General features: G+C 35.4%; 1 annotated feature.

Moving 5' to 3' along the window:
- Positions 14,906-15,573: an enhancer, noted in NCBI's record as "OCT4-NANOG hESC enhancer chr1:187016203-187016870 (GRCh37/hg19 assembly coordinates)". NCBI's record gives its function as "activates a minimal SCP1, AML or CMV promoter by ChIP-STARR-seq in primed H9 embryonic stem cells {active_cell/tissue: H9 hESC(primed)}" and the evidence as "EXISTENCE:reporter gene assay evidence [ECO:0000049][PMID:30033119]".

Below are 16,019 nucleotides of genomic sequence, written 5' to 3'. Positions count from 1 at the left end.
CACATACTGAAAAAAAAAACCCTAAATTCAAATGATCAAAATTATCACAATTTTATCAAGCAGTACTGTCCCAAGAAAGGTGTGGTCTTTGTGATCATGCCTACAAAGCTGGGCCACTCTGTAAGAGCTTCTTCTCTTTAAAAAGTTATATGACTTGGATGGGTGTCCGCTTCAAGTCTCATGTTGAAATCTGACTCCCAGTGCTGGAGAAGTGACCTGGGAAGAAGTGTTTGGGTCATGGGGGCAGATCCCTCATGAATGGCTTGGTGCCCTCCTGATGGTAATTAGTGAGTTCTTGCTCTGTTAGTTCACGAGAGCTGGTTATTTAAAAAAGTCTGGCATTGCCCTTTCTCCCTCTCTTACCATGTGGTACATCAGCTTCCCCTTGGCCTTTCACTGTGATTGCAAGCTCTCTAAGGCCCCCGCCAGAAGCACATGCTGGCACTACATTTCCTGTGCAGCCTGCAGAACTGTAAGGCAAAATAAACCTCTTTTCTTTATAAATTACCTGGTCTCAGATATTTCTTTACAGCAATGCAAATGGACTAACACGAAGACATAGGGCTAGAAAGAGATGGAGATAGAGACAGGGAAAGGGAGAAAAAGATGATGAGAGAGAGGGGGATTGAGTAAATTAAAATAACATAATTGCTAGTAGTGTCAACTTTAGTAATAGGGCCACCCAAACCTTCCCCCATCACCTCTCTGCAACTCACCAGGCTGGGAACCAGGGCAGCTACCCCTGTTGTACTAGGCAAGATGTAATTATAAGAATATTCTTTTCTACTTTATTAAAGAATTTCAGTCTCTCTAATAGCAGCTTATATTTCTCCAATACACTCTGTTTTCTACAGCATAAAGTTCAAACTTTAGAAATCCCTTCACTACTTGATTTCTTCATCTCATTCTAGCCTTAAGTCCATCACATTTAGCTGCACTAAACATAGAAATGCATTTCTATGTTCACACCAAGACCTTTGCTCATCCATACCTTTATTTTGGCATCACAGTTAGGAGGTCCTATTCCTTTTGTCTGGAAGTTGCCTCTATCTTTATGCCTTTATATGTAGTTTCAAATTCCATTCAACTTTCACTTCTTTAAAACCTTCTTCAATCTCCTTGTGGAAAGGTACCTGTTTACTTTCTTCCTCTTTGCTCCTAAAGAACGTGGTATATATGATTTGATTTTGTGTTTTCATTATGTTTAAATGTGTTTTTTATTCACTGAAGAATGAGCATTTTGGAGTCCGTTGTAAAAGCCCTTGGCACACAGTATGTAATAAATGATTGCTGCATGAATAAATACAGGAATTCATTTTAACTAATATTATTTAATTACTCAAAGCTAAAGGAAATTTTCTATTATAGCTAATAAAATATATAGAATACTTATTCTATTCACAATTCTAGGCTGATTATGTGACAAATTGTAAAGAATGTAAACTTTTATAGCATTTATTCTCTTTAAATTAAAATCTCTTCAGCTCTTTCCTAAGTAAATTCTACATTTTCCCAGCTACTTAGAATGCTCTAAATTTAACCAGACTCCATCTAGCCCCCTCCCCTCAAAAAGTTCCATTTTCTAGACCTAGTTTTTCCCTGAAACTCAAAAAACCAAAACAATTACCTTAGAATTCACAGATAGGAAATTGGTGTCAGAAAGCCTATTTCCTGGGGCTAGGGAGAAAAATTGGTGATTTGACCAGCAGGAAGGGAACAAGGTGTTCCAGTGACTTTGGCCAAAAGTACTTGGGGTCCTTAATAATGAGAAGGAAATAATGGTCCCCTGGCTGCCTTCTGCCAGAGATGACAGAGAAAAACAAGAAAGACAAATCTTCCCTCCACTTACAACAATATGTTGTCTTTTAATGTTAATTAATTTTTCCACTTAAAATACACCAGAGTTGCATTTTACTCTCATTACATTAGAACAAAAATTTTCCATTTGTACAAATACATACAAATTCACGTCCTGGAAATTGCAACTTCCTAGCATTGAATATATAGAAAAAAATTTCCTTCTCTTCACAATTAACAGTTCAGATGTCCATATTTCATTTTAAGCAAAAGCTCAATTCATTCTAAGAGGTGCAGAGTGCATGCTGACTTTTCTTCAAACTTGTATCCAGTAGAAAGTAAGCAGTGACTCTTCTGTGAATACTCCTTCAAATTCTTGGTAGATCAATGAAGGTCAAAGTAGAGTTTTAATTTAGAAAATCCTTGCCTAGATGTACAGTTATGCTTCAAGAAAGAGTAAAAATAGATAGTGTGAGGTCTTCAAAAATAGATGTACAGGTGCTCCTTGACTTAGAATGGGATTTTGTCCCAATAAGCCCATTGTAAACTGAAAATATTACATGGCAAAAGCATTTACTACAGGTACACCTAACCAACCGAACATCATAGCTTAATGCAGCTTACCCTAAATCTGCTCAGAACACATACTTGCATACAGTTGTGATAAATTGCCTAACATAAAACCTATTTTATAATAAAGAATATGTCATGTCATTTACTGATGTTCTACCAAATGTGTATACTTTCACATCATTGTAAAGTCAAAAATCATAAGACAAAACATCATCAGTTGGGAAACATCTGTAACTTTTTATCCTTTTTTCTTCTCTAAATGTACAAGTTATGAATCTTGACTATCTACAATCTTTTCAGAATATGAATAATGGAGTCAGATAAGAACTATGTTCCAGATCCAAGCTTAACAACTTCAAACTGTGAGATCTTGGAGCAGAAAATCAATGGAACCATCACTCCTACCCTAACAGGGAGAACAAGCTGGATACTCTATAACATCATAGTTTTATAAAAACCATTCAAGAGTTGGCAATGAAAAGAAAACTAAGTAAACTGAATTCCAGAAAGTGATGAGCCTTTTCTAGGAGAGAGGAGACCAGAGGTGCTTTCATCCCAGGCAGAGTGGTAAAAGAAAACTACCATAGGCAGTCAAACACCTAACAATGTTTAATGGCTTCATACAGGCTACCATTAAACAATACTAAGGATCCCCAGGCACAGAGCAAGTCTGTTTGCCAAACCTTTCCTGCAGGCCTTCACCACGTGTAACGAGAGAGTGTGCCAAAGGCTGAAAGGAGAGCATGAGAACTGAAAGACACTCCCTCCTCTGCACTTCTTTGGGCATGGAGCATAACTCTGCTAGCAAAATCTGACAATGATATTACAAAGAAATAAAATAATGGTTTAATAGCCCTTATAAACATAGAAATAAAACCTTTAAGAAAAGTAGTAAATTAAATCCAGTAATACATATACAGATAAACTCCATTTGGAATAGAACTCTGTTGTTTTAACATGTGAGAATAGTCAATTGTAGGTCATGATATTAACAGGATAAGGGAGATAAATACATAAATATCTCAAAGTATGCATTAAAAATTAATAATAGCATGCATTCAAGATATTAAAAATCTCTCAGAAAAATTAGAATAGAAGAGAATTCCTTCAGTCTGTTGAAACACATCTATGGAAAACCTATAGGTAACATTATAATTAGTAGTAAAATAGTAGAATTCATTTTTCCTAAGATCAAGAACACCACAAGGATGTTTGCTGTATCTATTTCAGATTGTACAAGAGGCCTTAGCAGTGCAATAAGAAAATAAAAAACTAAATATAAGGCAATCAGATTGGAAAATGAGCAAACTCTATTCAACAATGACATGGTTGTATGCATAGGAAACTACAGAATTAGAATTTATCAAAAAATCTCTAAGAACTAATAAGCGAATTTAGTAAAGTCACAAGATAAAAGGTCAACATGTAAAAATAATTGTATTCCCATATACTAGTAGCAAATACTTGGAAAATAAAATCTAATAATATACATAATTTACAATAACATTATAAAAATATATGCTCTGAAAAGTAGAAAACAATGCTGAGAAAAAATGAATAAAACATAAATTGTTAGCTATCCAATGCTCATGTACTAGAGGACACCATACTGTTAAGATATCTATTCTTTTCCAAAATTATCTATACACTTATCACAACCCCAAATAAATATCAGCATGATATTTTTGTGTGGAAAGAGACAAGCCAATTCTAAAACGTATATGGAAATTCAAAGGATCTAGAATCATAAAAACAATTTTGCAAAATAAAAACAAGGTTGGAAAGCTTACATTGCAGCCTGATGTTAAGAGTTACTATAATAATACAGTAATCAAGATGGCGTGGTATTGTGAAAAGGATGGACAAATAAAAATCAATACAATGGAATAGAAAGTTCATAAAGAGATGCACACATATAAAATCAGCTGAAATTAGTGAAAGGCAGCAAAACAATTCAGTGGGGGAATGTAACGTTTTAACAAATAGTGCTGGAATAGATAAATATCCTAATGTGAAAAAGAAATGAGACTTGACCCTACCTGATTTCATACACGAAAAACAAGTTAACATACACCATGAACCTAAACATAAAGCAGAACTATAAAGCTTCTAAAAAGTTACTTAGATGAGTATCTTCAAAACCTTGGAGTTGACAAAGAATTTTAAAACAGAACTGCAGAAGTGCAAACCATAAAAAAAGTAAATGATAAATTGGATTTCATTAAATTAAAAATCATTGCACATTAAAATATACCATTAAGATAATTATAACAGGGAAACCACACACTAGGAAAAAGTTTTTGCAACACATATCTGACAAATGATTTGTATATAAAATACACAAAAAATCTCTTCAAAATCAACAATAAATTAAAAAATGGAAAAAATACTAAACTAAAATCTTAAACACTCATTTTACAAAAGAAGATAAACAGATAACTACTAGACCCTGTAAAGTTTCTCAACAGTATTAATCACCAGGGAAACTAAAAGTAAAACTTCAAGAAGATGCCATTCTGTACCTTGCAAAATCATTCAAATTAAATAAACTGACAGCATCAAATTGGGTGGAGATTTGGGGCAACCAGAATTTTCACCCATTGCTTCTGGAGGAAATGTGGAATGGAAAAATATCATGTTCTTATAAGATTAAACATATACCTACCTATGACATAGAAATTCTAATGCTGGTGTTTACTGAAAAAAGTGAAAATATATATCCACAAAAATGCTGGTACAAGAATGTTCAAAGACGCCTTATTCATAATAGTCAAAAGCAGAAACAATCAAAATGTTCACTAATAGGATACTAGATAAATAACTTATGATCTATTAATACAATGAAATGCTATTCATTAATTAAAAGGAACAAACCATAATACACATCACATGAAAAAATATCAAAAAATATTGAATGAGAGAAGCCTGAACAAACAGCATATAATCCATGGTTATAATAATGTGATGCCCAAGAACATCTAAGGTAATAGAAATTAAAAATGGTTTGTCTAGAGTTGTGAGGAGTGAAAATCAACCACAAAGAGGTCCAGGACAACACTGTGGGAGGATGGACATATTCTATATCTTGTTTTGGGTGATGGTTACATGGATATATGCAATTGCCAAGGCACTCCAAACCAAATAGTTAAGATTATTTTGTGGCCAGGTGTGATGGCTAACACTTGTAATCCATCCCAACACTTTGGGAGGAAGCCTAGGAGTTTGAGACCACCCCGGGCAACGATGTGAGACTCCATCTGCAAAAAAATCAAAAAATTAGTCAGATATGGTGGCACACACCTGTGGTCCCAGCTACAGGGGAGGTTGAGACAGGAGGATCGCTTGAGCCCAGGAGGTTGAGGCTGCAGTGAGCCAAGACTGTGTCACTGCACTCCAGCCTGGACAACAGAGCAAGATCCTGTCTCAAAAAAAATTATTTTGTGTAATAATGCCTGAATTTAAAAAATAATGTAAGTTTAATATATATATATAAGGAAAATGGTACAAATTTCAATGATTGTTATATAAAGTTGATACAAAGTTCTTAACACAGTTCTAGAGACATGTAAATATAGTTTATTGTGTCTTTAAGTCAGAGCTTAGCCCAGTAACTGTCAAAACTAGTAACCAAAATATTTATTATGATATTACCTTAGAAATGGTGCCTCATTCCAAGAAGTAGGTTGGTATATGTAATGAAAAAACAAAGAAAAATAAAACACTGAACAGAGAGACAGAGATCATGGATCTGGCCCCTCTTGGATATACATTCTTTTGCACAAGTCATTGGATCTCTTGCAAAAAGAATATCATTACTTATGCCTTGTGCATAACTTCTTATGAATTGGAAATGAGAGTTCAGATTAAGTGAAAGTGCTTTGAAAATTTCAAAGTCCTAGAAAAATGTTTGGAATTAAGACTAATTGCCACCACATGTGATGTCAGTAAAATGATTGTGATTTTGTTTCTTTTCATAACTGCACCAGTTGTTAAGAGTCCCGGAGAAGTAGGAGCTAAAGCATTGCCTTTCAAAGATACACTGAGCTTGCAATATAACCTGATATGTTCTATCTGGGAATGGACATCTTCAATTTGCTTCCAGAATCAGTGCAAGGCAAGCTGTAGAGAGAAACATAAGCTCCCAGTCAGCGTCTTGAACTATTGGGAAATTCAATCTTGACCAGAGAGAAGCTGGAGGAGCAAACAGGCCCACCAGGATTTCTGATCGTTTAGGATGCAGCCTTTCCACTGAGAATAGTGGAGAAAATTACATGTTTTCTGTGAACTTCCCCTTTCCATTTTTATTCTTTTTCTTATCCTCAGTGAGTACTAGAACTCTGCCATGTTCAACCTATACAGTTTGGGCTATTTGTGACTTGCACAAACACATACTACAAATTAAATTTCTTCACTTTATTTCTTTAACAAATCAAGAAAAAGTAAATTTTTGTGTATTTTAGATATTAAAACAATTAATCAAAATTTATCTGAAGATTTTATACAGCTCTCATTTGATTTCATTCTGAAATACATAAAACTGCAGTAACTCCTTAGAAAGAATGATACAAAGAAAAAGTACTGGAGACATTGCAACATTCTTTTCTCTAATTTAGCTTCCCACACAGAATAATCTGGACTGAAAAAATTATCTAAAAAATATTTCGGTGGGAAAGCAAGTTAGGGAAATATACTCCTTAATCATCCTGCTTATCACTGAGTAATATACACATATGAGATACTGGGGCAGGTCCTTTGACACAGGACTTTGACTAATTTGAACATGGAATCATTTTTTGTAATATAATATACTCATTAATATCACACTTGGGAAAATGCTAAGTTAGCATTTCACATAGACCTGGATTTGTGATATTTCATGTAACTCTGTGAATAATATTCCTGAAGTTTCTATTTAAGGAGGAAACTTGGAAGTTGGACTCAAAGTCCCATCACAAATTTCACTATTTATGTTGCAGAAATAACTAATTCATCATTTTATTCTAACTTTCCTGGAGCTTATTTCGCAGGGCATAAAGACAAAAAAAAAAAAAGACATAGCAAGAGCAGATAGAAAGGGGAAACAGTGATAGCTCTGATTTTGGACTTAGAGGTATTTGGGCTCGGTGAGTTATAATCTCAGTAATGAAGTGAAGAGACAGAAAGTAGCTTCCTGGTTCTAAACACTCACCTGTGTTAGAGACAGGAAATACAGGTTTTCTCTGAGTTTTGTATGACCTCAAACAAGAAGTTTTATCTTTCTTTATCCTAGATTCCCATGTGCAAAACACAGTTGATTTTATCTTCCCTAGCAATCTAGGTCTGCAGTAGGGATAATATCCAAGAGAAATAATGCATTTAAATGTGCTTTTAAAAATTTAGAACACTGTCAAATGTGAAGGATGATTAAGGTATAAATTTCAAAGGCGAAGTAGCTGGACACCATGTACAGAGGGTCAGAGACCAGGAATGACTGGCAATTTTCCCAATCAGTATGTAATTGCTGCTCAGTTTCCAGCATGGTCTTGTTCTTAACCCTTTGGAAGGGTGGCAGAGATTATTGGTTTGGAGGCTGCCAAAGCGGCCAGCAACTGAGACATGCACTGTTTAACTTATTTTCTGGCTTAAAACAATCAGACAAATGCCCCTGACCTTCCAGGTTTGCCAAGAAGTTCTACAGAAGGAATGAAACCAAATCACAAAGAAGCTCAAAGAATGAGTTTCCTAGAGAATCAAAAAGCTTTTATTAGTGAACCTTATCATTCATGTGTGTGCACTTGAAAAAACACTCTGGTATTTCCAATAAATGCATGTTCTATTTATGCATATCTGTAGCTTGGATATCAGCTTTCTGGGTATCTGAAATCTTCCAGTGTGCTGGGTGACAGAGCAGGAGCACCGTCATCTTGGACAAACACCACCAATTTAAGTACCAGCTCCCTTTCTAACTTCATGCATTTCAAGGAGATCACTTCTCTTCTAACAACAAGCAGCCAGAAAAAGCAGACAGTAAAACACAGATACGACAGCTTGGGCACAGAAGGAGGGGGGAAAGTCTCTTGAGTAATCACCAAACTTCACACTTATACAGTGGGCCCCAGTAAAACAGTGGGCCCTAATAAGCACATTCCTTTCCCTTTAGGTGCACTAAGATAGGTAAGCTAAAAGCAGACTACGGCAGGTGAGCAGGTGGGGAGGGGACTGCGGGGATGCCTGAAGCTACAGGAAAATGTATGGGAGCAGACACAAAACCTCTCCCTCCCAGATAAGCAAGACAAAGAGACACAGACTAAAAGTTGGCTGATGTGGTCTGGGAATGGGGTGAGAGCTGATGAAAACTCTGCTATATACAGACAGCACACCTGGTCCTAACTGAACCGTGGGACCCTAGGAGGATAAGGCATCCCCTCCTCATGAGCCCCTGAACCCTTAAATACCCTTAGTCTGTAAGAGAGAAGGCTCCTGACCTAACTTGGCCAGAAGCCCCTCTCATGTTTATTCTCCAAAAGAAACCTGTCTTTGACTGTTGAGCCACTTTTCATGTTTCAGTCTTCTTTCTTCAACTCTTACACTGAGGAAAACCTTTTTAATAATGTTTAAATTTAAATGACTCATAAAACTACCTTAAATAGACTGAGAAACAGGGAGCTTACATTGTTCCCCATCATTTCTTACTCAGATCCCTTCTTCATCTGAATTATCTCTCTGTTTTTTGTCTGGCTCTATTGCTGCCCTAGGCTCTTCTCACCCCAGAATGCCACCTTCACACAGTATAAGCCCCAATTGAAAGCTCATGATGATAAATTCAAATGTTACATTTACACATTCTAGGTTCAGAAATTTTCCTGCTTAGAAAATTCCCATTAGCGCTTTCTCCTCTCTGGGTCACTATGAGAGCTTCCTCTTTCCTTTTTTCTTTTTCTTTCTTTCTTTTTTTTTTTTTTTTTTTTTTGAGACAGAGTCTCGCTCTGTCGCCCAGGCTGGAGTGCAATGGCGCGATCTTGGCTCACGGCAACCTATACCTCCCGGGTTCAAGTGATTCTCTTGCCTCAGCCTCCTGAGTAGCTGGGACTACAGGTGCGTGCCACCATGCCCAGCTAATTTTTTGTATTTTTGGCAGAGACAGGGTTTCGCCGTGTTAGCCAGGATGGTCTTGATCTCCTGACTTCGTGATCCGCCCACCTCGGCCTCCCAAAGTGCTGGGATTACAGATGTGAGCCATGAAACCTTCCTCTTTTCTTATTGCTCTACTCTCTGCCTCAAGGTTCCCCGAAAAATGAACTAATTTGTATTTTAACATAGATGAGAATTACAATCTATTATAATTTTGAATAAATAAAAGATTACAGGCAGTAGAAAAAATGCAGTTTCAGTATGAACTTAATTTTTCTCTCAAAGAGGAGAAAAAGAATGGGATGGGAGCCTATAGGGACACATTATTGCCTCTGCTTGTCTTCTGAGGCTTGTGGGTGAACTAAGAGTATGAAGCTACTAAAAGCTAAAATCCAGAAAGAAATAACCTTTCGTTAGGAGAAAAGTCTTTACTTTGGTGCAGCAAATTTAGTTCTTAAATGATCTTGGTGAAATAAATGACTAAATTTATTTGGGTAAAGAGGTACAAAAGGTGTTCTACTTTGTAAAGCCGAATGGTAGGTATATGTATTCATTTTCTTATTCATATATGTATATGCATATATCTATTATATTTTGTTTTATTAAGAAATTTATTTAAAAGTAAGCCAAGTCAGTTTTCCCAAACATAAATAAATATCAGAGCAAAAAATATTTTAATAAATCCTACATAGTTCTATTTTTAAACTGTAAACATTTAAACTGAAAACATATTGTTGGACAATAGAAAGAAAAATGGCTGCAGAAGGTAATATGGTCAGTGGGACTCTTATTTTTTCATGTTGAATGAAGCAGCCCAGGGAATGCTTCATGTGCTAGTGCACTCTGGCTTGTGTTAAGGAGTAAAAAAGGACTTGGGTTATAGTGCAGACTCAAGAAATGGTAACCTTGAGAAGGTATTTATCTAAAGTTTTTGAAGCAAGATTATAATATTTTTTGACTGGTGGGAATATCTGACTTCTTGTTTTATAGGAAAAGAAATGAAGACGAATTGTTTAAGGAACTTGACCAGTAACATTGATGTTCTGATTACAAGGCCTAGGGTAGAACCCAGGTTCTAGCTTTCAGTGGTCTATCACTAAATAGTTGTGACTAGAAGCACCTGCCCTGTCTCCTAATAGGGGTAAAATGTTAGTGAAATTAAAAGCTCCTAAAGGATGATCATTTTCTAGCCTAAAGTAAAGAAAGTTTTTACTTCCTGCCTAAGATCGGGTTGTAATGTAGATCTACTTGTTTTTTTTTTTTATTTTTTTCCTTTTCTATTTTAAGAATCAAATCATTATTAACACCTGTTTGTTTCAATGCTGCAGCGTTAGTCACGTTTTTCTGGTGAACAGTGACATCTGGTGGACACCTAAAAAAAAAAAACCCTGCCTTTGCTTATACAGTCATCAAAAGTTCCAGGAGCACATGAGCCTTCAAGAAGCATCCCTCAGGGAGCACAGGTTAAACTTTAGAGAGACTTGATTCCTACCATGGTATGGGGAATCAGGATAACAGAAAGAAGCCACCAAATAAGCTTCAGTAATGATCAAGAGAGCTTCGAAATGGCTAGAAGCCTCCTAAGTAATTTTGTTATAGATTTGAAGCTATTTCCCTCTTAGCTCACTATTTTCAAAGATGGTATGTTTACTTTACAGAATAAATGAAAATTATATATTCTACTTTTCCTTTACTTTTACTACAATTGAGACATACACGCAGAGAAGGGACAAGACACACACACACACACACACACACACTCAAAAACACATAAACACATACAGCCAGCACTTCACATTGGTAGGTTCCACATCTGTGGAATCAACCAAACTTGAATTGAAAATATTCAAAAAGAGTATTGCTTCTCTACTTAACACATATGCACTTTTTCTTGTCATTATTCCCTAAACGGTACAGTGTAACTATTATTTACATAGTATGTACACTGTATTAGGTATTATAAGCAAACTAGAGATGATTTAAAGTACACCAGAGGGTGTGCATAGGTTACACGCAGTTACTCTGGCATTTTGTATCAGGGACATGAGCATCCATAGATTTTGATATTCCCAGGAGGCCTTGGAACCAATACATAATATGTAAACATATATAACACATATATAAATATGTATATATTATATATAACATATAATATTTTAAAACATCCTATGGTTCTGCTTCTCTGGAGACTGCTAATGCATAAATTCCAAAAGATTAGAAACAACTCAAGATAAAGTATATTAAAGTACATATATATGTTAGGGGAAGGAGATTAACTGATAATAAAATTCAGTTACTCCTGGTGGAATGGAAGCACTGAGTAGAAAGACTTATGCAAAAATTACTTTTTTGTACCTTTCAGTTTGTATGATTAGGTTCATACCTGCTACACTGGTGAGGAAGGAGAATAACAGGGTAAATGTGTTTTTATGTTGAGATGAGTGAATCCAGCGCTGAACAGGCAAATCCATGCTAATTTTGCTCTTTATAGCCATGGCTTGTCAAATTCATCAGCAGCATTGTTTTCAGAAACTGTCTTTGTCATTTATCATTAAAGAAAATATACAATGCAAAACCGATATATAAATTTCTAATACCTGAACCAAAAACTGTACCCTTAAATGCATGTCAGAGTGACTACAATATATATTTTTTTAATTTTTAAAAATTTTATTGTGCTAAGAACACTTAATAGGAAATCTGAAGTATTGCTGACCATAGGCACAGTGCTGAACAGCAGATCTCTACAACTTACCTATCTTATTTAACTGAAACTTTATGCTCATTAATTAGCACTTGATTTATCTCCCCAGCCTCTGGCAACCACTAATCCACTTTTTGATGCCATGATTTTGACTTTTTTAGATATCTCATAGAAGTGGAATCATGAAGCATCTGTTATTCTGTGACTGGCTTACTTCATACAGCATAGTGTTCTTAAGAGTCATCTATGTTTTCTCATTACAAAATTTTCTTCTTTGTTAAAAACTGAATAATATGCCTTTGTATTTATATACATTTTCTTTATCCACTTAACTTTCCATAGACATGTAGGTTGTTTCTACTTCTTGACTATTGTGAATAGTGCTGCAATGAACATGGAAGTGCTAATATCACTGCAAGACCCTGATTTCCATTCTTTTAAATAAATACCCCAAATTGAGATTACTGGATCATATTTTGAATTTTTTGAGGAAACTCCATCCTGCTTTTCATAGCAGCTGCACCATCTTGCATTCCCACCTATAGTGTACAAGGTTTCCAAATTCTCCACATCCTCACTTGTTGTCTTTTTTATATATATAATTGATAACCTAACAGATGTGAGATGATATCTCTTTGTGACTTTGATTTGAATTTCCCTCATTATATTAGTGCGGTTGAACATCCTTTCATATACCTGTTGGCTACCTGTATGTCTTCTTTGGAGAAATGTCTATTTAAACCTTTAGTCCATTACTTTAATCTAGTTATTAGGTGGTTTTTTTGTTTTGTTTTGTATTTTTGCTGTTGAGTTGTAAGAGTTTTCTTATATATTTTGGGAATTAACCCCTTCTCAGTTATAGGATTTGCAAATACTTTCTCCCATTCTGTAGGTTGCCTTTTCACCCTGTTAGTTGTCTCCTTTGCTGTACAAAATATTTCTAGTTTGAGGTAGGCTTATTTTCCTCTCAAAATACATACCTTTAGAGTGTCTTGTTACGGATATAACCATATATATAAAGCAGTAATATGTTCATATATAGGAGGTCTGATCATTTATTGAGAGAGGTAAACTAGTTATAAGGAGTAGATTTTTAGTTCAAGGTGAAAATCCTCATTTGAGAAGTTGGTTCATTTTTTTTTCCAATGGCTGTCAACTCATATAAGTACAAATAATGTTTTAACAGAAATTTGTAATTCCTCTTTTGTGCTTTATTTTTAAATTGTGTGTTATAAAATCTTCTTGCCATCTTTTAGTTTGATTTGTTATTACTTGTTTTTCTAATTAATTAATTTTTGATGCAACTCAGTACTTTTTTTGCAAACTAAAATGTTTTAAATTTATATTAAAATATCCTTTCACTGATAATTCAAAGACACTCACCCTATAGCTATGCTTAATTTATATATGGGTCTTGCATTTCAGAGAAGAGCTTTTATTATTAGCTTTTAAAACAAAAAATACCTACACCAGCAAGTATAGCCCATGAGAGATACATTGTCATTTTGATATAAGGCACCTGTTTACTGCATCTATCTGGGGATAAACCAAATGAATACATTTGGCCTGTGGAACGTTTCAGCGGTGTTACCAGAAAAAAAACAAGTCAATAACAATACTCAAGCTATTGTAACAAAAGTCACAAAATGTACTAAGGGTGGTTTAAAAGGGTCTCAGGGATCTCTCTGCCAGGTATGACATAATACATCTTAATACTTCAGAGAGACTGATTAAATCCTTTTGAAATAATTTACTAGAGAAAACATTGGTCATTTTTCTTTTTAATCTACTGAGAAAAATGACAAGATATTATATCATCTCTTGGGTTGAATAATAGTAAAGTTTTGAAAAAACATTTTCATATGCTTTATACTTTATGCCCATCCATCCTGATATCCAGAAGTGTGTCCCTTGAATAATAGAAAAAGTGTGACCTCAACTAAAAAGAAACCAAAACTATCTATATCTATAAAAATGCTAATTTAGTTTAGACATCTATGTGACATAAGTACCTGATTAATACTCAGTGCAGCGGATCCTAGATTTCTTGAAAGTTTTAATGGTTATACTGTTTTGGGTTTTCAAAAAGCTGTGTGAGAGTTACTTTAGTTATCTTTGTGTTTATTATTTCTTGAGGCCTAGAGGATATCAAATCTATTGTTGGATCTGACACAGAAATGAGCAAATCCCCATCCCAGCCTGTTGCAGGGCAAAACAGATATCAAAAATCTCTCCCCATTCAGAGTTTCTCGGAAGTTACATCCTAGTGCTAGAGTCTGATGTGTGGACACCCTCCTCCCAACAATGCAAATTGTCTTCCCTTGATGCCCAAAGCAAACGCAATGATCAAATCACTCAGTCTCAAATATAACCCGTGTTCTCCTATACTTTAACAGAAAGGGTGCATTTGAGAAGATACCATACCAACATAGTGAGTATCTAATAAGTGTCTGCACCCCAGTCATGTCTACTATGTCCTGTATTATTTTTCTCTCATTGGTTACATGCAGCCATATGAACATTCTGGGTTTGTTTTGTTGTTGTTGTTGTTATTTTCCATCATCCTTGAATAAAGGCGAAGAGGAACTTGCCAAGGCCAAATCTCCATGACCCTTTCCTGAATTTTTAATGGCAACTATTTTAGCTACACAAATATTCAGCAAAAGCCTTTAAAAATCACTACTATTCAAGACTTACTTAAATTATTTTCCAAGGATTACCTTCATCAAGAAAATAGATAACAAAGTGAAGAAAGACAAGCTTTCACTTCAAAGGAATTCATTAGGTAGCTGAAATCTTCACAGGCAAGCACAAAAAGATAGTCTTCATTGTCACCCTTAAGAGGGGGATGGGGAGACTGTAACCATCCCAGTCTTTTTGTTTAATGACATAGCTGAGCCATTGAAGAAGAAAGAATTGGTTTAAAAGAATTAGCATTTACAAAGTTTCATACCTGTCTTCAAGTCTCGTTTCCATTATCCTGCTGTTACCACAACATGTTCTCTGCCCCAGGGCTTCGTGCTAAGGCAAGCTTGGAGGGCTAATGGATTGGGAAGTACTCTTGTTCATCTTTAACATCGGACAGAGAAGGACTCAGAAGTGTGAACGGGCAAAGGGAAAAATTCTGGCCAGCTGCTTCCCTATATCTAGACCCCGGAACTGATCCTACATTGAGAAGGAGAGTACAGAGTTGAGCATATGACTAGATTACCAAGAGGGGATAAGGGAGGAGAGTATCTCTCCAACTGATAATTGAGTTCAGCTTGTGTGATACTTGTTCAGGCATTGGTTTGAAATAAATACAATACCAGCAGATCGAATTAGCAAAGCTGAACTTCAGGAACATCAAGATGCTCACATTGAATGAACTGGCTGCAGTTTTCTAGTTGTGCTTATAAACTTGGAAATAGATCAGTGTGGCCAGTGCATTTTGACATGCTTTTATCAATGAAAACAGCTGTTGTGTTTTTAGGCACAAAACTGTGACTTTGGGACACACACTGAAATCAGAAATTAAACAAATTAATTAGTTTCATGGTGAACACTTCAAAAAGTGAGAAGTATACAAAGAAATGGAAATAGAGATCTGTCCTTCAGAATATTAAAATTATTGAGGAAATGAGCAAGATATTTCAAAACAGGTAAATCGAATAATTTCACAACACTTCTGTGAGGTTGGGATGAGGATACAGCTTGGGCAACGGGTGTGTTTAAAAATGCAATGATAAGGAAGGAACGAACCATTCCTAAGATTGTGGAAGACATTGTAATGGTTAATATTAGGTATCAACTTGATTGGATTAAAGAATGCCTAGGTGGCTGTTAAAGCATTGTT

The sequence above is a fragment of the Homo sapiens genome, chromosome 1 (assembly GCF_000001405.40).
Source record: "Homo sapiens chromosome 1, GRCh38.p14 Primary Assembly".
Classification (NCBI taxonomy): Eukaryota; Metazoa; Chordata; class Mammalia; order Primates; family Hominidae; genus Homo; species Homo sapiens.
Note: the sequence above shows the minus strand (reverse complement) of the source record. Positions and strands in the feature narration are given on the sequence as shown.